At 52.7% G+C, this 21,889-nt stretch overlaps 1 protein-coding gene across 17 annotated transcripts in view, besides 2 other annotated features; it reads left to right on the top strand.

The window, feature by feature from the left end:
- Window positions 1-19,004, top strand: part of SEMA5B (semaphorin 5B) — a 119,524-nt gene extending 100,520 nt beyond the window's left edge. For 4 of the 17 annotated variants that reach the window (XM_047448352.1, NM_001410801.1, NM_001031702.4 and 1 more), the window contains 16 exons: window positions 83-296; window positions 1,409-1,694; window positions 4,334-4,469; window positions 5,639-5,846; window positions 5,964-6,171; window positions 12,196-12,313; window positions 12,465-12,646; window positions 14,085-14,228; window positions 14,405-14,552; window positions 14,662-14,887; window positions 15,025-15,243; window positions 15,744-15,914; window positions 16,017-16,166; window positions 16,551-16,595; window positions 17,041-17,246; window positions 17,785-19,004. In XM_047448352.1, coding sequence (XP_047304308.1) covers window positions 83-296; window positions 1,409-1,694; window positions 4,334-4,469; window positions 5,639-5,846; window positions 5,964-6,171; window positions 12,196-12,313; window positions 12,465-12,646; window positions 14,085-14,228; window positions 14,405-14,552; window positions 14,662-14,887; window positions 15,025-15,243; window positions 15,744-15,914; window positions 16,017-16,166; window positions 16,551-16,595; window positions 17,041-17,246; window positions 17,785-17,943 — 2,820 coding nt within the window. In that variant the 3' untranslated portion in view covers window positions 17,944-19,004. Of the gene's footprint in view, window positions 1-82; window positions 297-1,408; window positions 1,695-4,333; window positions 4,470-5,638; window positions 5,847-5,963; window positions 6,172-12,195; window positions 12,314-12,464; window positions 12,647-14,084; window positions 14,229-14,404; window positions 14,553-14,661; window positions 14,888-15,024; window positions 15,244-15,743; window positions 15,915-16,016; window positions 16,167-16,550; window positions 17,247-17,784 lie in introns of those variants that run through there. The other 13 variants (NM_001437548.1, NM_001437573.1, NM_001437623.1 and 10 more) reach the window with 10 other exon arrangements.
- Window positions 1,066-1,566: an enhancer, noted in NCBI's record as "H3K4me1 hESC enhancer chr3:122645367-122645867 (GRCh37/hg19 assembly coordinates)". NCBI's record gives its function as "activates a minimal SCP1, AML or CMV promoter by ChIP-STARR-seq in primed H9 embryonic stem cells {active_cell/tissue: H9 hESC(primed)}" and the evidence as "EXISTENCE:reporter gene assay evidence [ECO:0000049][PMID:30033119]".
- Window positions 14,246-14,746: an enhancer, noted in NCBI's record as "H3K4me1 hESC enhancer chr3:122632187-122632687 (GRCh37/hg19 assembly coordinates)". NCBI's record gives its function as "activates a minimal SCP1, AML or CMV promoter by ChIP-STARR-seq in naive H9 embryonic stem cells {active_cell/tissue: H9 hESC(naive)}" and the evidence as "EXISTENCE:reporter gene assay evidence [ECO:0000049][PMID:30033119]".
- Window positions 19,005-21,889: the final 2,885 nt, after the last annotated feature.

Raw genomic sequence — 21,889 nt, 5'->3', positions numbered from 1 at the left:
GGAGGAAACAAAACTCAGATGGAAAGAACAGGCAGCCCCAGGGCCTCAGGGAAAAGTGTCCCCTTCTCCCCATTGTCCCCAGGTGGGGAACCTCAGCCGGACTATTGAGAAGATCAATGGTGTGGCCCGCTGCCCCTATGACCCACGCCACAACTCCACAGCTGTCATCTCCTCCCAGGGGGAGCTCTATGCAGCCACGGTCATCGACTTCTCAGGTCGGGACCCTGCCATCTACCGCAGCCTGGGCAGTGGGCCACCGCTTCGCACTGCCCAATATAACTCCAAGTGGCTTAATGGTAAGGAGGCCCCAGTGCCAGGGGTGGGGACTCCCCTGGTTTTGAGCCCACCAGCCCACCCTGAGCCCCCCATTCATCCTCCTTCCTGCCAACCTCTGCAAGTGCTCCCACTTGCCTCATCAAGGAAGAGGTCCAGAGTAGGGCAGAGTAGACCAGAGCATGCTAGAGATGGGCCCCAGACGAAATCACAGGTGATGTCCCGAGGCCACAGAACAGATGGAGGGTGGGCTATTAGGAGAGACGGAGATAATTAGGAATTGTTTAGGAAAACAAGTTATGGATAAGAAAAAATTACGGGGCCAGGTATAGTGGCTCATGCCTGTAATCCCAACACTTTGGGAGGCTGAGGCAGGAACATCTCTTGAGGCCAGGAGTTGGAGACCAGCGTGGGCAACATAGCAAGACCCTGTCTCTAAAAATAAAAATAAAAAATAAATCAGCCAGGCGTGGTGATGCATGCCTGTATTCCTACCTACTCAGGAGACTGAGGTGATAGGATGCCCTGAGCCTAGGAGTTTGAGACTGCAGTGAGCTATGATCGCATCCCTGAACTCCAGCCTGGGTGAAAGAGCAAGAGCCAGCCTCTTAAAAAAGAAAGAGAGGGAGGGTATGGAAAGGGCCATATGAGTTTCCTAGCCCTTGGGGTTGAACCCCTGCTTCCTCACTAACTATTAGGTTGGCGCAAAAGTAATTGCAGTTTTTGCCATTAAAAGTGATGGTGAAAATTGCGATTACTTTTGAACCAACCTAAATAGCTGTGTGTCCTTGAGCAAGTACTTAACCTCTCTGTGCCACAATGTTGTATCTGTAATATGGGGATAATCATAGGATTTACCTCATATGTTGAAGGACTGGATTAATCCACATAAAGTACTTAGGATGGTGTCTGGCACCCAGTGAGAGGTGGGCGGTAACACATGTTTAATATTACAGCTGCCCTTGGTATTGGAAGTGGGAAGAGAGTTAGTTAGGGCCCCCAGGTCACCAAGATTGCAGAGAGAAGGATGTCAGGATGCCCATCTGGGAAAACCGAAGTAGTTGAGTCCTCCCGACTCTGCCATCTTCTTCCCCGCTGGCCTGCCCTGCCCCTTGTTCCTCTTCTGCCCACCCAGAGCCAAACTTCGTGGCAGCCTATGATATTGGGCTGTTTGCATACTTCTTCCTGCGGGAGAACGCAGTGGAGCACGACTGTGGACGCACCGTGTACTCTCGCGTGGCCCGCGTGTGCAAGAATGACGTGGGGGGCCGATTCCTGCTGGAGGACACATGGACCACATTCATGAAGGCCCGGCTCAACTGCTCCCGCCCGGGCGAGGTCCCCTTCTACTATAACGAGCTGCAGAGTGCCTTCCACTTGCCGGAGCAGGACCTCATCTATGGAGTTTTCACAACCAACGTGTGAGTCCTGCCCTCTGCCAGCCCCTTGCCTGTGATGTCAGGAGCTGGCCTGGCCTCATGGCCTGGTGGGCTTCATCTATAAAATGGGGACTGCCGTGCCTCCTGCCGGGGGTCATCTGAGGATTTTGTGACTTACTGCTTCTGGAGCGGTAAGCTCGTGTTCTGGGTTGCTGGGAAGGGCAAGCCTAGGCCAGAGATGAATAAAGCAAATAAATCTGCCTTAGGCTGCATGAAGGAGGAACATGCTGGTGATGAAGGTGGAAAAGCCTGCCTTGGATGAGGGGATATAGCCATGTAGGGGAGGGGAGCAGGCAGCAATAGCCACAGGGAGGCTCAACAGGAATTCACTAAGGTCCCTTCCAACCTCAGGACTATGTGATTCTGCTCAATCTAACCAGCAGTCTTCTGGTAACCCTGCCATCACCTCCCATCTAGACTGTGCTGGAAAACCAGGCTGGGAATGGCAGCCCCTTTTGCTTCCTAGGTGTGAGGACGAGTAACCCTCACAGATCATGGGACCCTCCTCCCACCCCCTCCCTCTGTGTAAGAGGCTAACCCAAACAGGTGACTTTCCTATAGACCAAGCTTGTCCAGCCCAAAGCCTTTGGGCTGCATGTGGCCCTGGACAGCTTTGAATGAGGCCCAACACAAATGTGTAAACTTTCTGAAAACTTTACGATACTTTTTTTCTTTTTCTTTTTTTTTCTTTTTTCTTTTTGTTTGAGACGGAGTCTTGCTCTGTCGCCCAGGCTGGAGCGCAGTGGGGCAATCTCGGCTCACTGCAACCTCTGCCTCCTGGGTTCAAGCGATTCTCCTGACTCTCAGCCTCCAGAGTAGCTGGGACTACAGGCACGTGGCACCATGCCTGGCTAATTTTTTGTATTTTTAGTAGAGATGGGGTTTCACTGTGTTAGCCAGGATGGTCTCAATCTCCTGACCTCGTGATCTGCCTGCCTTGGCCTCCCAAAGTGCTGGGATTACAGGTGTGAGCCACCACGCCCAGCTGGCAATATTTTTTTTTTTCTCATCAGCTATCGTTAGTGTTTAGTGTATTTTATGTGTGGCCCAAGACTACTCTTCTTCCAATGTGGTCCAGGGAAGCCAAAAGATTGGACACCCTGATATAGACAGTGATGGGTGGGCACCGAGACCAAGGAAGGCACTGGCTGCACAGTGTGCTTTGTAGGAACACCAGAAGCCTATAAGGCATGGAGTGGTGTTTGCTCACTTTGGGCCCCAGATAGCAGGCACTGGATGAGGGCCAGGCTAGCTATAGGAAAGACAGTGTGAGGGGGTGGACCGAAACGAGAGTCAGGAGTAGGTGGAGAGGCATCGAAACTGACGCCATCAGTGTGGATTCTAAATAGTGTATTGATTGCATGCCTTCTCCATGCAGGTGCCTGTCCTGGTAGGGGTGCGGCGTCACAAAAGCAGACATGGTTCAGCCTTTAAAAGCTTAAACAGGGTGATGGATATTAAACAACAAATTTTAATCATGAGAAATGCTACAAAGGGAAAGGGCAGTGTGCAGAAAAGCCTCTAACAGTATAGAGGAGTGGTGATCAGGGAAAGCTTCCTGTAGGAAGTGACATCTATAAGATGAATAGGAATAAACTAAGGGAGAGGAGCATTCCAGCCTGAGGGAATATGTGCAGAGGTTTGAGGTGGGAAGAAATGTTTCAGGAGCTGAGCAGAGATCAGTGTGGCAAGACATTTAAGGGTGAGGAGAAGAAAGACAGGAAGGAGGGTGAAGGGGTAGGGCAGGGAGGGTATGTCCCAAAGGACATTGCAGACTGCTTTAATCTTTATTGTAAGAGCAAGGAGAAATTATTGACAGGTTTGAAGCAGTCCAGCGACCAGCTCGGAGGTGCATTTTGAAACGCTCACCACTCTGGCTGCCATGTGGAGAATGGATTAGGATACTAGACAGGCTGCAGGCAGACCACCAGGAGGACAATGCAGCATTCAGGGGACTAGAGGGGGGCTGAAACCAGGCAGAGGTGGAGAGAAATGGACACATTTGGGAGAAGAACTAAATGCGAAGAATATAACTGGAGGCGTTTGGTATGGTGGTTTCCTCTCTGTGAGCTGTTCATGTAAGATTCATGGAAACATGCTTCTGTGACTGAAAGGGTCTCCTGGGTCATCTGAACTCAGGGTGTGGCAGGCTATGGCATAACTCAGTGGTTTGGTAATCAGCTTTTGTAAATAAATAAATCAGAATAGAATGGAATAAAATATCAGAGTGTTAACATATTTAGTAAGGGTAAGTTCATAAAACTTCTTTATGGATGTGTGCATATTATACTGAGTTGTAGGGTAAAATATATCTCTTACCACGGTCCATGGACTACAATGTTTGAAAGCCACTGTATTTCAGCGCCCCCGAATAAGGGAGGGAGGGAGGGAGGCAGTAGCACAGAAGGATTCACCAGTGCCTCTTGTCAGTGGGTCGTTCCCAGGGGGTTTACAGAATGTGAGGACCACATCTCCTCCCTTTGAGATCCCCCCATGTGCCAGACACATCATAGATGCTTACAGAGCCTTGGGAATTGGACATGACAGCTGGCTGTGGGGTTTATGAGGAGGGTGCCAGGTCTTACAGGGAGGGCCCTGTGCCACCACTTCTTGCCTTTCAGAAACAGCATCGCGGCTTCTGCTGTCTGCGCCTTCAACCTCAGTGCTATCTCCCAGGCTTTCAATGGCCCATTTCGCTACCAGGAGAACCCCAGGGCTGCCTGGCTCCCCATAGCCAACCCCATCCCCAATTTCCAGGTACAGAATCTCCTCCTCTTTCCCTGTCTTCACACACTGCCTTACCCCCAGATTACCAGCCACAAGCTGATTCCCAACTGCTTAGCACAGACAGACACCAGACCCGTCCCTGCCAGTCCATGCCCATCTCTGGGGTCCACAATGGTTCCCTGAGGGTATTAGCCTCTACAACTGTGAGGGAGAGTGGGTGAGGGGCAGTGCGAGGAAGCATGCTCCGAGCCATCTCTAAATGTGAGCCCACACCTCCAGGGAGGCAGGGAAGTGGGACCTCAGCTCTCCACAGTGTAGAGGACCAGGAAAGCACTACACAAGCTGTCTGGCTGGAATTTGGGAATGTTAAGCAGAGCTTTCTCGCAGTGTGTTCAACATGGGTACTAATTCCTGGAAGTGGTCAGTGCTAGGAGTGGTCAGGGTGTGGTCAGGGCCCAGCCGTGGGTAGTGTGAGTATCCCCCATCCCCATGGAGAAAGGGAAAGAACCAGGGGGCAGAGGAGGCTGCTGATGGTTGACTTTCGTGTTCGCCCAGCTTCCCACCCAGGGGGTGGGATGGAGCTGGGAAAGACCTCAAGCTTTGCAGTCCTACCATCTAGCCTATCTCTGTGTGACCTTGGACAAAAAAGTCATCCAACCTCCTTCAGTCTCCTTTTCCTTATCTGGAACTAGGGATAATACTGTAAGAGATAATACCTCACAGATATGTGAGAAGGTTCATATGCCTGGAATGTAGGAGATGCTCAGAAGGCTTCCAGCTTTGGTTTAGAAATCATAAGAACTTTGAGCTGGCAAGGACACAGGAGAGGGACAGCAGGCTTGGCCCAAGGTAGGAGAGGGGAGCCTGCAGCAACAGCATAAAAATCACCGGACACTCGTCCACACTCAAAGTATCCGTTTTTAGATAGTCCAGTCCCCTTTGCTCTCCTCCCTCCTCTTCCCCAACCCTGGCAGGATCCTCCTTCCCCATCTCCCCAGTCTCCTGTTCTTAGTTCCCAAAGAAGAGGCATCCCACCCTGGAAAGGGTGCAGGACGCCCAGCAGGGATGCTAGGGGTGGGGGGTGCTGGAGAATCAGCGTCCGCTGCTGTGGCCACCTGGGTTGCCAGGAGGAGGGAGCCGGCGGGGGATGGCGGCAGCCCTGGTGGCCGGGGCGCGCGTGACCTGGCTCCCCGCGGCAGTGTGGCACCCTGCCTGAGACCGGTCCCAACGAGAACCTGACGGAGCGCAGCCTGCAGGACGCGCAGCGCCTCTTCCTGATGAGCGAGGCCGTGCAGCCGGTGACACCCGAGCCCTGTGTCACCCAGGACAGCGTGCGCTTCTCACACCTCGTGGTGGACCTGGTGCAGGCTAAAGACACGCTCTACCATGTACTCTACATTGGCACCGGTGAGCCGGCCCGGTCCAACCTGGACTGCAGGTCGGGGGTGGGTTGAGGGACGGCGCGGGGCTGCAAGCTTCCGGGGCCTTCAAGGCCACCTTGGTCTGGCTCCCCCTCTCCTCCAGAGTCGGGCACCATCCTGAAGGCGCTGTCCACGGCGAGCCGCAGCCTCCACGGCTGCTACCTGGAGGAGCTGCACGTGCTGCCCCCCGGGCGCCGCGAGCCCCTGCGCAGCCTGCGCATCCTGCACAGCGCCCGCGCGCTCTTCGTGGGGCTGAGAGACGGCGTCCTGCGGGTCCCACTGGAGAGGTGCGCCGCCTACCGCAGCCAGGGGTAAGCCGGGACGGGGCGGCTCCCGAGGCCTCCACTGCGGAGGAGGCGCTTAAGAGGCGGGGCTTTGGACCCGGGAGACCTGGGGTCGGTCCCTGCAGTCTCCACTAGTGTGCCTTAGGACAAGTCACTCCACCTCGCTGAACCTTGGTTCTCTCCTCGTAAAACATCTTGCAGGGTTTTTGTGAGGGTTAATTGAGATAATCTCCATAAAGCACTTATCAGTACCTGGAGGAAGTGTGTGCTTAGCAAATTTTGGTGGGTGGCTGTTGTTATCCCTGTTGTCAAACACATAGCTAGGGCCAGTCAACCATCTCTAGCCCACTTGATTTATTCTCAGTCCTTTCTGTACAGAGAGTTCTTTATCTTTGAAGCCACAGCACTTATTGCCCAGATGTGGGGACAGATGGAGATGATGCTTTGAGTCAGCCCCACGTTTTTGCTCCTCTTGCTTCCTTCCTTAGAAGAGGTAGAGAGGGCTGCTGCAGGTAGGGCAGAGGTGAGGCGCCACGTGGAGGAGTTGCCCTGGCTTCCCACTGCTTCTGAACTTGGTTCTTCATGCCGTAGCTTCAAGCGGACTCACAGATTTGACAACTGTGGCATCAGTGTTTAAGGGGGAAACCAAAGCCTATTCCAAAGCCAAATGGAAATGTAGCCCAGACTCCTACCACCCGAGGCTCTCCCAGGCTGCATGGCCTCATTTTCATGATACTCAGAAGCTGGCACCACCACAGCCATGCGAGCTTCTGTGGCCTTTGCAACCGAGAGTCCTGGCTGTGCCATCTGTCCTCAAGATTGGGAAGACAAATGGTATCCATGATACAGGGCTGTTCTTCAGCTCCAGTGGGGTGTGCTCGGAGCTGGGCAGAGGCCTGTGGGGCCAAGAGGAGCTGGATGGTCTTGGTGAGGCAGCCAAGGAGGGGGAGTCTCAGGGCAGACACTCCAGCTCCCTTCAGCCCCAACACAAGTCTCCATCAGCGAGACACCACACACTTACTAAGACATACCATGTTCAGGACACTTTGTAAGACTGTTGGTGTGAGAGAAGGCAAGAGAAATAGGCCCCGAACACTGATTTCCCTCAGATCTCCAGATATCTGGGTGGGAAGAGAACCTTGGCCTATATCAGACATGTGGGGAGAGATGGTCGGGTGTGGGGGGAAGGACTCACATGGTGGAACCAGACACACCTGGGGCTCCATCTCAACTCCATCATCTACTAACCGTATGATCTTGAACAACTAAATCTTTTTGAGCTTCGGCTCTCTCATCTGGAAAACGGGGAGACATTTGATGGAGCAAATGATGTTTAACAGGCAGAGTTGTAAGGATTGGGACTAGTATTCATAAAGTGCCCAGTCTAGCAAATCACAAGAGGTAGCTGGTATCTTTATTACTTCTTATCTCCCCAAATGCATTTAGGAGCCCTCCAGCCTCCTAGGCCCTCTGGAGTCTCATTGAATATAGTCAGTACAGCTTGGCAATGAATCACAGGCTTTCACATATGGCTTGTTCTCCAAGAGGTTGTAAATCCTTAAAGGCAAACCCAGTGTCTCAGTATTTTTTATACTCCACCAGGGAGTCCCACCCAGCCCAAGGCACCAAGTGGCCTTCCACACATGACTGATCCTTCAGTTGACTGACTCTTTGGCGTGAGAGGAGTTTGGCGCAGGAGAAACATGGGGAATGGGACTGGAAACTGGATTGAGGCCAACTGAGAAGGCCAAAGGAGGACTTCGACTTGAATCCTGTGGCTGTGGGCACTGGAGTGGTCCTAGAGCAGTGGAGTGCAGTCACGGGCTGTGTGAAAAGATCAATCAGACAGTGGTGAACAGCACTGTCATGTATCAGGTGGATGGTCCAGGTGGCCTAGTATGGCTCTAAGCCAGATCTGAAGGAACGGGGCCTGCAGTGGACGGGAGGAAGGAAAGGGGCTGGGATGTTCAGCTCCAGTGGGGTGTGCTAGGGAGGCCTGCGCTCACATTCTGCAGAGAGGGGCTGGGGAGCTTGTGTAGTGTGCCCATTGCACTCTTGCCCTGGAGCAAGGCACAAAGAGGTCAGTTTGGAGTTTGGTGCTTTCATCCTATTTTGTTTCCTGACTTTGGGATAGGAGCCCTTGATGTGTACAGTGAAAACCCTGCTAAAAAACTATAGGTGAATCCAAAAAGTATGAAACGCAAGGTCACATTATCAGAAGATTAGAAAAATGGCTAGATTAAGTACACACAGTCACCAAGCTGTGTACCCCAGGAGTCTGGGAGCAAACTGCCACAATATATTAGAATTTGCACTGCTGTGGGGAGTGTTGTCACAAGGTTTTACTGTGTCCTAGGATAGGCATTTCATGCTTTTTCCCTCATGCCTTCCAAAACTGGCAGGAAGATGAGGGTGGGTAAGCAGAGGCCTCTTCAGGCTCCCTCCTCTGCCCAGGATCCAGGGGTTATCTCCAACTGCCTCTTTTCACTCAGGAGAATCTCAGCCCCACGGGGCACCTCCAAGACCTGGCCTGGCCAGAGAGAGATCAGTGCTCCCACGAGGAGGAGCTGGGGAATAAACTGCTGACTGGCTCTGCAAAGCGGGTGTTTTATGCATGAACCACCCCTTTCCTCCTTCCAGCATGCCTTTCACCCTGCCTTTGAGAGGGGTAACCTACCCCCAACTCATTCACAGATCTCCCCTGGCTGCCCCATGAGCACAGGGAAGGCCCACTCTCAGCCATTTTTTTGCTCACAAGCTTCAGAGATACCTTTTCCACCCTGGACAGCTCCCACTGTGAGACTACTACACCACAGTGCTGGAATCAGCCTGCCTGCAACTTCCACCATCCATCTCTGTCACACCTCCGAGCCCATGGAATGAACCTGTTCCTTTTTGTAATGGCTGCTTGAGACATTGCAGTAAAAAAAAAAAAAAAAAAAAAAAAAGACATGGTGATATATTATTGGTCTGATGGCTCCTTTATGAAAAGGACTCTAAACTGCCACCCATTTCCACAGTCAGAGACACACTTTAAGTCTCTTATCCTTGGAGCTTTCATTTTTCTTAAGAGTGTTCCCTGCTCTGTAAGCTTTGAAGTGGCCTTTGGCCAAAAGCAGCAAACGTGGTTCCACTTGAGCCAAGGAGGCAGTTATCCCTTTTATTCACAAGAAGAGAGCTCGGGCACTGGCCTCAAGAAGCCTCAGGGGTCCCCTCAGGCTGCCAGGGAAGGGGCAGGGCAGGCGTGTCCATGAAGAATCTGGTATCCTCTTTCTTCTCTGGGACTTAATTGAGGGCAGGGGAAGCTGAAGGGGTGAGAGGGCTTGGAGAAAGGAGACTGGAGCCAGCATCTACTCCACGTTTTTCTTCTTTGCTATTCTGCCATGGTTTGGAAAGACAAGACACTTCATCCCTTGGCTTGGGAATCTTGACAAAAGTGGCCCCTGGCACAGCAGTTCTCAACCATGGGTACACAGCAGAGTTACCTGGGGGGTATTTAGAAGATTCCAGTGCCTGGGCCTATTCCAGTCCAAAAAGCCAAAGTATAGGTTGGTGGGCTTTTTGTTTTGTTTGCTTACGCTTTTTAAAGGATGCCCAGGAGATCCTAATTTGCAGTGAAGCCTGGGAACTCCTGCTGTAAAACTGGTTAGGCTCTAGATGGAAGAAGGAGCAAGAGGCCAATTGCATTTCTCCAGAATCTTCTGCATTTGTCTTACATAAGCTGATTCAGGTTTTCTGCTCTTACCCATTTTCTCTGCTGGCAGACATTTGTTTTTGATTAATAGAATATTGTTTATTATTATTATTAGTCACTAGCTATGGCTAATTCTTTTTTCCAGTTAATTTGTGTCACTTATAATGCCACGTAAGCTGCCTGTAAGAGGTTGATGCCCCTTTTTGAGTGCTGAAGGAAATAAATTCAGGAGTGGGCTTTGCTGAGTTCTCATTGGTTGAATTTGCTAGCAGTCCTCTTGATCCCAATGTCAGCCAGTAAGCAGAGTCTCAAAACCACAGGTTGCTGGGACTACTTGTGTACATGTGTTGCATGTAGTCCCACGATGTCCAGTTTGATGGACTCTACTGATAAAACACCCTCAAATCAAACCATTGATCCCAGAGGAAAATATGACCACATTTATCTTGTACAATTTACCCAAATTGTCCTTGAGTGAATAAACTGGAAACAGATACCCCAGCAACAGTTAAGTATTCTGGATTCCTGGGTGGGCCACAGTGTGCTCACCGGGCTCCCATGATTGCCTCGCTTATATGAGGCTGCGGGTTGGCCAAGAGCAGCAGATAGTACTGTCTTCTTTGCCCTCCTTTGCTGACAAGGAGAAGCCCCACCCTCTTCTTTGTATAATTAACCTCATTTTTCTCTGGGGCCTGACATGATCTATTGAACCCACTGCAAGTTAAGAATTCACCTGACAGGTTACTCTCCCTGAAGCTTCAAGAGATAAGAAAAATTCTACCCCAGGGATGCCAAGAGCTGCAACTCTTAGCTCTTCGTTTGTTCTTGGTGTATCTCTTTAGCCCTAGGCATCTTTGGCCCCTTTGTCCAATGGGAAGATCCCCCTGCAAACTCACAGAATGTTGTGAACTCCCCGCCAGGCTCCATCTTCTTTGCAGTCCAGTACATCCTTCTCCAAAGCCTCTTCTGTTTTCCAACCTCCAATTTCTGAGCCCATGCTTAGTGCTCTCTCCAGACCCTCTTCAGCAGACTGGCTCAGAAGGGGGTGGAAGCTGGGGACAGGAACCAGAGGGATCGAGGTATCCCCCAGGATTGGCAGTGGGCTGAATGTTGGAGGGACCCTCCTTCTGGCACCAGGATTGGATACTCTCTGTACTTAGCAATGGATAGCAAAGCCTGATTCCATAATCCCCACAGACTTTTTCTCCCCTTTCAAGTCCTACTAGTGGAGATTAGATTTTTCTGTTAAAAAATTACATGAAGACATCAAAAGGAGAAAAAGAAGAAAGAAGCTCTGGACTATGAGAAGTGGAGGCATTTGGGGCATGCATCAGTGTGTGAACCAGTTATCATTTTGGGGCCACTGTAGAGAGACCAGCCCTCAGGGTTGAGGAACCGAGAACTGGGATGTGACCGCCTACAGCTTGAGCTCATTCTCAAGATGCTAAAGCACTAGACTCTGATTCCTGCCACTAAGCAGCACAAGCATGTGGGTGCTCCAGGTGACCATGGACAGTACCCAGGTGTCTGCCGATCCTGCGCTGTGTTTTGAGGGATGGGCTCATATTCAGTGTGTGAAATCAGACACAACCTCCCGTGGGAAGCAGAAGTGTGAGGGGAAAAGCGTGGTCAGAAAGCTTAGGTCTGGGCCCAGCTCCACCACCTATGATCTGTGTGATCTCAGGGAAACTACTTATCTCCTTGCCTTGGTACAATGAAAAGGTTGTATAGTGGATCCCAGAGGTTCTCAGCCTCGCTCCCATTAGAATCACCCAGGGAGCTTTTAAACACTACTTCGCCCCTAGAGAGTGTTGAGTGGGGTGGGCTCGGGTATTGGTATGTTTTGAAAGCTCCTCAGGTGATTCTAATGTGCAGCCAGGGTTGAGAACCATCTGTAAGGCTTTTTCCATCTCTAATGTTTTATGACTCTATGATCATAGCATGTGCCAGGGAGGCATTTCCTCTTTGGGTTCCTGTTAACCACATCTGCACCTGTGGCTGTGGGTGAGGAGTATGGGGCACCCATATTTGGGGAAAGCAGTGCCGTCTCTTTTAAACGTGCAGTCTCTGGAGGATGAGGGTTTGAGTCCTGGGTCAGGTCACTGGGTTTCCCCCAGATAACATGGGAATAATAACAGTACCCACTTCATTGGGGTGCTGGATTTAAATTAATTCATGCTTATAAAGTGCTTAAAATGATGCCTTACACACAGTAAAGGCCCAATGAACTTCATTATTATCATGGAGGACAAATGGATGGAAAGTGGTGCACAGAGGGGAGTGTTCACGTGTGTTCCTGAGATGCAGGTGAGGCTGGGAAGCCAGTGGGCTTGAATCTCAGGACGTCTGTCTGGCAGGGCATGCCTGGGGGCCCGGGACCCGTACTGTGGCTGGGACGGGAAGCAGCAACGTTGCAGCACACTCGAGGACAGCTCCAACATGAGCCTCTGGACCCAGAACATCACCGCCTGTCCTGTGAGAATCCCCTTGTGTCCTCCCATCTCAGACCCCTCCTTCAATTCAGGCTATGACTCCCCACCAATATTCCCCCAATCCCCTGAGATCTTATGACTTCCCTGCCCTTGGCTTGGGTAATAGGGGTACTGTCTCCCATGTGTGTCTTCAGGTGCGGAATGTGACACGGGATGGGGGCTTCGGCCCATGGTCACCATGGCAACCATGTGAGCACTTGGATGGGGACAACTCAGGCTCTTGCCTGTGTCGAGCTCGATCCTGTGATTCCCCTCGACCCCGCTGTGGGGGCCTTGACTGCCTGGGGCCAGCCATCCACATCGCCAACTGCTCCAGGTATGTGAGGACAGGGTTTACATGGTGTCTGCCTTGGACCAGGGTGGGGAGAACTAGGGAAACGGGGACCCCTCACTTGGGTGTTTGCACTAAGGGACAGAAACCACTTCAGGGCTGTGCTAGGGACTGGATAGGTGGCTAATATCTGAGGCAGGAAACCTGAGCCCTGAGGGAGTTTCCACGCTAGTGAGAGAGAAGTTTCTATCTCTTGGTGACTCTTGATGCAAAGTGGAATGCTGGGCAGGCATGGAGGTCACTCCTAGACAAAAGCGTGCCTCAGTAAGTCTCATCCCAAACATGAGGAACAGCATGGGATGATGGCAAGGCAAGCAAATCTAGTGCCAATTCCGGATTGCCACTGTCTGGAGGTGTGGCCGTGGCCTAGCCACCTAACCACTCTAAGCTTCTCTTAGTGAGGGTTATAGTACCCACCCAAGAGTTGTTGGGAGGGTTAAATGAGATAAGGTATATACAGAGCTTGCACAGTGCCTGGTACCTGGGGACTCCATTAGACACTTTTTCTTTTTTTGAGACAGCGTCTCACTCTGTTGCCCAGGCTGGAGTGAAGTGGTGTGATCATGGCTCACTGTAATCTCCTGCCTCAACCTCCTGATTAGCTGAGACTACAGGTGCCCACACCATACCCAGCTAATTTTTAAAAATTTTTTGTAGAAACAGGAGTCTCACTATATTGCCTAGGCTGGTCTCAAACTCCTGGCTTCAAGTGTTCCTCCCACCTCAGCGTCCCAAAGCTCTGGGATTACAGGCATAAGCCACCACACCCAGCCTTGGACACTCTTAAAAAAACTATTTCATACACATTTATTAATGTAGCCCTCACAGCAACCTCATGGGGGTAGGAATACAATCATTGTCCTTACTTTAAAGTTAAGAGTACTTTAAAGTTAAGTTACAGAAGGTTCTAGTAACTTGCCCAGGGTTTCACAGCCAGCAAATGGTAGAGCCCAGATTTGAAAATTGGCGTCAGAGTAGGCATGAGTGAGCAGTGTCTGAGGCTGGAGCAAAGCATGTGCAATATAGTACAGGGGACAGAGTGTTGGTTACAGTGCAAGGATTGGGACCAGCCAGGAAGGCTGAAAGGGAGGCTGCAGACTGGAAAGGGGACTAGGGCCTTCTTCTCTAAAGAGTCTGCCCTTTTGGCCCTTGTGAGATGGGGCCATGTCCTACCTCTACGTCCTTAGTCCTGAGCACAGCATGATATATAGAAGAAGGCTCTCAATACATGTCTGAAGGAGGAATAAATGAACGGATGGATGAGCGAGTCTGCCTGAGATGACCTGTTTAGGAGAAGATATTTCTATGTCACTGTCCAGCCCTTTCTGACAGCAGTAGAAAATACATCGGCCCAGAGACAGACTAGATCTAAGAAGCTAGGGCTCAGAGGGGCATCTGTCTCTGTCCCCTCCCACCCCGCCAGGAATGGGGCGTGGACCCCGTGGTCATCGTGGGCGCTGTGCAGCACGTCCTGTGGCATCGGCTTCCAGGTCCGCCAGCGAAGTTGCAGCAACCCTGCTCCCCGCCACGGGGGCCGCATCTGCGTGGGCAAGAGCCGGGAGGAACGGTGAGGGAGAACAGGCTTGCTCTGAGGTCCCAGACTAACCGGGCCCCCCAGAAAGTGGCCTGGATTCTCCTCGTGATCCCGGGGACTCTCGTCCTTTCCGGTCTTGCACTCCCAGGGACCTCTCGTCAGGGAAGGGGGTCCCCCTCCCTGGATTGACGCCTCTCCCCCGACCCCAGGTTCTGTAATGAGAACACGCCTTGCCCGGTGCCCATCTTCTGGGCTTCCTGGGGCTCCTGGAGCAAGTGCAGCAGCAACTGTGGAGGGGGCATGCAGTCGCGGCGTCGGGCCTGCGAGAACGGCAACTCCTGCCTGGGCTGCGGCGTGGTGAGGGTTGGGGCCGTGGGCCAGGGGCGCGGTGTAGGGTACTGGAGCCGAGGGGAGGGCGGGCCTGGAGGCCGTGGGGTTCTAAAGCTGCCTCTGCCGCCACCCGCAGGAGTTCAAGACGTGCAACCCCGAGGGCTGCCCCGAAGTGCGGCGCAACACCCCCTGGACGCCGTGGCTGCCCGTGAACGTGACGCAGGGCGGGGCACGGCAGGAGCAGCGGTTCCGCTTCACCTGCCGCGCGCCCCTTGCAGACCCGCACGGCCTGCAGTTCGGCAGGAGAAGGACCGAGACGAGGACCTGTCCCGCGGACGGCTCCGGCTCCTGCGACACCGACGGTACCCCGCGCCCGGCGCCCCCTCCTTCCTCTCTCCCAGCCCCGGAGCGGTGAGGGCGGGGGCGGGAGCCCCGGGGAGGCCCAGGCCGGGGTCGGGGTGGCCGGGCGCCCAGTCGCTGAGGCCTAGCCCCTCCGCAGCCCTGGTGGAGGTCCTCCTGCGCAGCGGGAGCACCTCCCCGCACACGGTGAGCGGGGGCTGGGCCGCCTGGGGCCCGTGGTCGTCCTGCTCCCGGGACTGCGAGCTGGGCTTCCGCGTCCGCAAGAGAACGTGCACTAACCCGGAGCCCCGCAACGGGGGCCTGCCCTGCGTGGGCGATGCTGCCGAGTACCAGGACTGCAACCCCCAGGCTTGCCCAGGTAACCCTGCACGGAAGGAATCCTTGGCCTAGCGAAACCCTGTCATCCTGGAGGCCCCCTTCCCCGCCCCAGGCCTACCCAGGAACCCCAATGCCCAGGTGACCCCTTCTCCCTGCCAACTCTGTGCTAGGGACCCCCAGAGCAAATTTCTGCCCCGGCCGTAGATGCAATGGCTACTCCGGTGGAGTACGGCCTCAACTTATCCTCCCTGTCCCTTTTTTTTTTTCACCTTTCTTAGTGAGTTAGACAGGTAAGAAGCTTGATTGGAGGTGGAGTCGGTCTCTCTCCCTCCGGGTGTCTCTGCTGCTTCCTGCGTTTCCCTCACCTGCCGCATGGAGTGGGGGCACTCCCTAACAGTGGACTGTTGGGTGGCGGGTGGATCGGGTGGATGTTGAGGTCACTGTGGCTCAGGGCAGAGTGGTCTGGGCTGGTATGGGATGGAAGACCGTCTTGGGCCCTGGCTGCCCCTACAGCCCCTCACACACCCCGTCCCCTTGCAGTTCGGGGTGCTTGGTCCTGCTGGACCTCATGGTCTCCATGCTCAGCTTCCTGTGGTGGGGGTCACTATCAACGCACCCGTTCCTGCACCAGCCCCGCACCCTCCCCAGGTGAGGACATCTGTCTCGGGCTGCACACGGAGGAGGCACTATGTGCCACACAGGCCTGCCCAGGTATGAGGCACATCCCGCCAGGGCTGGGAAGCGACATGGAGCCCTCTGATCCCCACCAGGGGGTCCCTGGGCAGTTAACCTCATCCTACCCACAATCCCCAGAAGGCTGGTCGCCCTGGTCTGAGTGGAGTAAGTGCACTGACGACGGAGCCCAGAGCCGAAGCCGGCACTGTGAGGAGCTCCTCCCAGGGTCCAGCGCCTGTGCTGGAAACAGCAGCCAGAGCCGCCCCTGCCCCTACAGCGAGATTCCCGGTAGGTACCCCTGCCAGCACCTGCGCAGCAACCCTTCCCAGCCTGCACTCCCAACTTCCTTCTCCTTCTGAAGCTTGTGTCCTGGTGGGGAGCAGGGGGCACAGGATGAAACATGGAAGTGGGGGGAAGGAGATGCCGAAAGAAAACTCCCATATTTGCCTCCATGCACACATTTGGGGTTTGGGCCCTCCTCATCCTGTGGATGGGCTAGCCCTTCTCAGAGGTGGGGTCTGAGGAGAGAGGGAGGGGAATGAAGGCCCCCACGCCTACCTAGTCCTACGTCTGAGCGTTGACCTAGAGGTCCTCCCAGGCTTACGCCTACCCTGCAGGGCCCCCCTCCTCTCGTCTCCGCCCCTGACACCCTGTCCACTGGTCTTCCTGCAGTCATCCTGCCAGCCTCCAGCATGGAGGAGGCCACCGACTGTGCAGGTAAAAGAAACCGGACCTACCTCATGCTGCGGTCCTCCCAGCCCTCCGGCACCCCACTCCAAAGTCTGGACTCTTTCCACATCCTGCTCCAGACAGCCAAGCTTTGTTGGGGTCCCCACTGCTTTGAGATGGTGTGTAGGGTGGTCTGGGCAGTTCCCTCCATGCCCCCCCCAGCTAGGAGGCCATCATCAGTCTGTACCCAAGGAAGAGTCATCTGACTCTAGACCCTCTGGTTGCCACCTCTGACTTGAGCCACAGGGTACCTTGTGAAAGAGGTCCCCAGTGACAGCCTCCCCAGCCTCCCTGTTTCCTTTGGCTGTGGCCTCAGAGCCCTTTCCAGGATGCCTCAGAGCCTCCTGTTGCTGTTTCTGCTCCCAGGGAGGCAGGCAGGAGTCTGTCCTCTTCACAGTGGCCCTCATCTTACTACCTGCCTCTCTTCCCCTAGGGTTCAATCTCATCCACTTGGTGGCCACGGGCATCTCCTGCTTCTTGGGCTCTGGGCTCCTGACCCTAGCAGTGTACCTGTCTTGCCAGCACTGCCAGCGTCAGTCCCAGGAGTCCACACTGGTCCATCCTGCCACCCCCAACCATTTGCACTACAAGGGCGGAGGCACCCCGAAGAATGAAAAGTACACACCCATGGAATTCAAGGTGGGAGCCTTCTTTTTTTTTTTTTTTTTTGAGACGGAGTCTCACTCTGTCGCCCAGGCTGGAGTGCAGTGGTGGGATCTCGGCTCATTGCAAGCTCTGCCTCCCGGGTTCACGCCATTCTCCTGCCTCAGCCTCCCAAGTAGCTGGGACTACAGGCGCCCGCCACTACGCCCGGCTAATTTTTTGTATTTTTAGTAGAGACGGGGTTTCACCGTTTTTAGCCGGGATGGTCTCGATCTCCTGACCTCGTGATCCGCCCGCCTCGGCCTCCCAAAGTGCTGGGATTACAGGCGTGAGCCACCGCGCCCGGCCGGGAGCCTTCTTGTAGAAGCAGAGGGCAGGGTAGGAGGGCAGGGTGAAGAGTGCAGGGGTTCTGGCCCTCAGCTGGGTGGAACTGGGCAGTGGTGGTGTGAACAGAGCACTGGATCCGCAGTCTGAGTGTTCTTGCACGGCTGGCTTCTGGACTCCTTGCTCTGGCCTGTTCCCTTCCCCTGTGTGTTCCCTCACCCCTTTCTCTGGTTCCTTCTTCCACCCACAGACCCTGAACAAGAATAACTTGATCCCTGATGACAGAGCCAACTTCTACCCATTGCAGCAGACCAATGTGTACACGACTACTTACTACCCAAGCCCCCTGAACAAACACAGCTTCCGGCCCGAGGCCTCACCTGGACAACGGTGCTTCCCCAACAGCTGATACCGCCGTCCTGGGGACTTGGGCTTCTTGCCTTCATAAGGCACAGAGCAGATGGAGATGGGACAGTGGAGCCAGTTTGGTTTTCTCCCTCTGCACTAGGCCAAGAACTTGCTGCCTTGCCTGTGGGGGGTCCCATCCGGCTTCAGAGAGCTCTGGCTGGCATTGACCATGGGGGAAAGGGCTGGTTTCAGGCTGACATATGGCCGCAGGTCCAGTTCAGCCCAGGTCTCTCATGGTTATCTTCCAACCCACTGTCACGCTGACACTATGCTGCCATGCCTGGGCTGTGGACCTACTGGGCATTTGAGGAATTGGAGAATGGAGATGGCAAGAGGGCAGGCTTTTAAGTTTGGGTTGGAGACAACTTCCTGTGGCCCCCACAAGCTGAGTCTGGCCTTCTCCAGCTGGCCCCAAAAAAGGCCTTTGCTACATCCTGATTATCTCTGAAAGTAATCAATCAAGTGGCTCCAGTAGCTCTGGATTTTCTGCCAGGGCTGGGCCATTGTGGTGCTGCCCCAGTATGACATGGGACCAAGGCCAGCGCAGGTTATCCACCTCTGCCTGGAAGTCTATACTCTACCCAGGGCATCCCTCTGGTCAGAGGCAGTGAGTACTGGGAACTGGAGGCTGACCTGTGCTTAGAAGTCCTTTAATCTGGGCTGGTACAGGCCTCAGCCTTGCCCTCAATGCACGAAAGGTGGCCCAGGAGAGAGGATCAATGCCATAGGAGGCAGAAGTCTGGCCTCTGTGCCTCTATGGAGACTATCTTCCAGTTGCTGCTCAACAGAGTTGTTGGCTGAGACCTGCTTGGGAGTCTCTGCTGGCCCTTCATCTGTTCAGGAACACACACACACACACACTCACACACGCACACACAATCACAATTTGCTACAGCAACAAAAAAGACATTGGGCTGTGGCATTATTAATTAAAGATGATATCCAGTCTCCAAATGTCTCTGTGCATCTGTGCGTGGGCTCCTCTTGCATAGTCTAGGCAATCTGAGCAATGCACCAGGGTGGCAGATGGTCTCTCAAGGCGGGGGAAATGCCCCAAGTAGCCTTATCTTTAATAGATGATATCTTTCCATTTGTAGAATGGAAATACACATACAGTGTACACATACATTGTCCTACACCCTTTTTGGAAAAGATGTTGGGGATAAGCAGATTCACAAGTGGGGACATAAGGTACACCAAAGGCGACAAAACAGGCGAGAGTTCTGCCTGCTCCTTTAGCATCTCTTCAGGCAACAGCTCCAGGGTGTGAGTCCAGCGGGAGAGTGTTGATGAGAATTATTTTATGAGATATTTATACTGCTGAGTTTAATAAAATCAAATTTGAGAAACAGGCAAATCTGTGAGGTGGGAGAAGCCTAATATAGTTTTTGCTGGATTAAATAAAGATAACCTCAAAGCCTCAGCCCACCAAATCAATGCTGCCATTTTGGATGAGATTGACGGACATGTTAAATTTAGAGAGCAATTTCCTGACTTAATTGGCTGGATCAATTCTCCTAGGATTCCCAGCAGAATCTAATTGTAGGTCAGGCTGTAAAACCTGCCATCCTAGTGGTAGAGGAGGCGGAAGCTCTTGGGGAGTGGAGGGAGGAGTGCTTGAAGCTTAAAGGTTCCTGGAAGCAAGGAGGAGGAAAGAACATGCCTGAAATCTTTCCTGCTTACCTGGGACAACTGGAATGGCAGTGTCATCAGCACAGTGGAGCCCCATCCGAGAGCTCAGGAAGTATGTGAGTACTTGGGATTCCTGACTGGTTCCTCTTAGCCCCATGTGTCTCGAGCTCATGGGGGCCTACAGGGCATTTTATTTATTTATTTATTTATTTATTTATTTTTATATATTTATTTTTGAGACAGATTCTTGCTCTGTCTCCCCGATTGGAGCACAGTGGTGCAATCTCAGCTTACTGTAACCTCTGCCTCCCAGGCTGAAGCGATCCTCCTACCTCAGCCTTCTGAGTAGCTGGGACTACAGGCGTGTGCCACCATGCTTGATATTTTTTTTTTTTTTTTGAGAGGTGAGGTTTCACCATGTTGCCCAGGTTGGTCTCGAACTCCTGGACTCAAGCAATCTGTCCCCCTCAGCCTACCAAAGTGTTGGGATTATAGGCGTGAGCCACTGCACCCAGCTAGCAGGGCATTTTAGATCCTGGGGTCTCAGAGCCCCCTTGGACCAGAGGGTCATTGAAGTTTAAGAGTGTTCCAGGGCCCAGGGTGCCTGCTTCAGAAGGGCCCCTCATGGTGTGTTCAAGTGGAGGGACCAGGTAGGTCTGTAGGAAGTGGTCATGGAGACTTCCCGGGCAATGCCCACCCGATGTTGACTGCAGTGGCATCAGCAGAATGTCAATCTTTGAGTGCCAGTTCAACACACACACACACACACACACACACACACACACTGAATTCTCTTTGCAAAAATGTGGCTTTGGAGGCATGACCATTCAGAATGCATGAAGGATCCACACTGCTCGCAGATGAGCTGGCAAAGTTGGTAAGGGCTATTAAGTAAACAACCCTGGCCCAGAGGTGAGGAACCCCAGGATGTGCTCCCTGACAAGGAGGGTCTGGGGATCTCTGACAGATGTCAGGGAGCTGAGGCGTGAAGGGCAAGGGATTCTTCCTTGTCCCAGCTGGCTCAGCAGGAGTAAGGAAGATGCAGGAGTGGGTGCTCCAGGCTTTTTTGCATCCCTTTGTGTATAAATGACTTTTTGAGTGTGTATGCATTTTCTTATTAAAGTCATATGTATTCATTGCAGAAAATTTAGAGGATACAGAAAACCAAAAAGATAATCACAGTTATACTAAAAACCAAGGCAGAGACTTAGGGATTTTAAATGGTGGTATAAAGACATTTATCCCTCTTTCTCTCAGAATCACCCCCAAAACAGAATAAAAAACAAAAGTTCTGTCACTATTTTCAGTAAATCTAGGATGTATGTATAACCCCAAGTCATGATCCATGAAGACAGAAAGCAGATGGAGGAACCAGGCATCCAGTAGAATGGATGTGGGCCAAACTTAAGCATCCAAGTGATTTCAGAAAGAACCGGATACCAGAGAAACCAGGAATGAGAAAGGTGGGGTTAAGGTGGGGACTGAAAAGAGAGGGATTGGTTGTACATCTGTGTGTAAGCTTCAGCTAGACTTTCAAATTGTCTTCACTCTCCACCGTTACAGTCGTCACCACTCCGCTGTCTCCACAGGGGGCAATAAGTATGTTCCCTTAAGACAATGAACCAGAGAAACCTTGGACTTGGGGACACCAGGCCCAGAGGTGGGTGTGTGGTAAGGAGTTGTCTGGACAGACTCTGGTTGTCAGTGGGATTCAGCCATTGCCTTTCCTAAGCTAACTCCAAGACTCTGACAGCCAGGCTTTTCCTCCCCCTCCTCTTTTTCCTCCCCCTCCTCTTTTTCCTCCTCCCCTTTTTCTTCCTCCTCCTCCCCAGGCAGAAGACTAGAAGATGATCTTTTGAAGAAATGAACTAACCCTACAAATTCTGAAATAAGCTAGCTGGTCATCATGCTATATAGTCCTAGAGCAAAGTACACTCGTTTACAAACAGTACCCTGTACACAGAGCTTGCAGTTAGTTTTTAGTGCATCCACACTGCTTGCAGATGAGGTGGCATAGTAAGCAAAGGCTGTTTGGTAACCAGCCCTGGCCCAGAGGTGAGGAATCTCAGAATGTGCTCCCTCACAAGGAGGGTGGTACGAATCGGCACATAAGGATCACAGACATCAGAGGAAAAGGTCCAACATGAAAGAGACACCAAAACAAAGAAACAGATAAAGTGGAACTCAGTGAAAACAGAGACAATACAGAGAGAGCACTTCAAAGACACCATATTCTTCAGAAATGAGTGAAGATGCTATATGAAATAAATACGTGATGTAATTTTTAAAGGACATATTTAAGTTCATAGAAATTA

Source organism: Homo sapiens, chromosome 3 (genome assembly GCF_000001405.40).
Source record: "Homo sapiens chromosome 3, GRCh38.p14 Primary Assembly".
Classification (NCBI taxonomy): domain Eukaryota; kingdom Metazoa; phylum Chordata; class Mammalia; order Primates; family Hominidae; genus Homo; species Homo sapiens.
The sequence above is the reverse complement of the archived record's forward strand: the minus strand, read 5'-3'. Positions and strand labels throughout refer to the sequence as shown.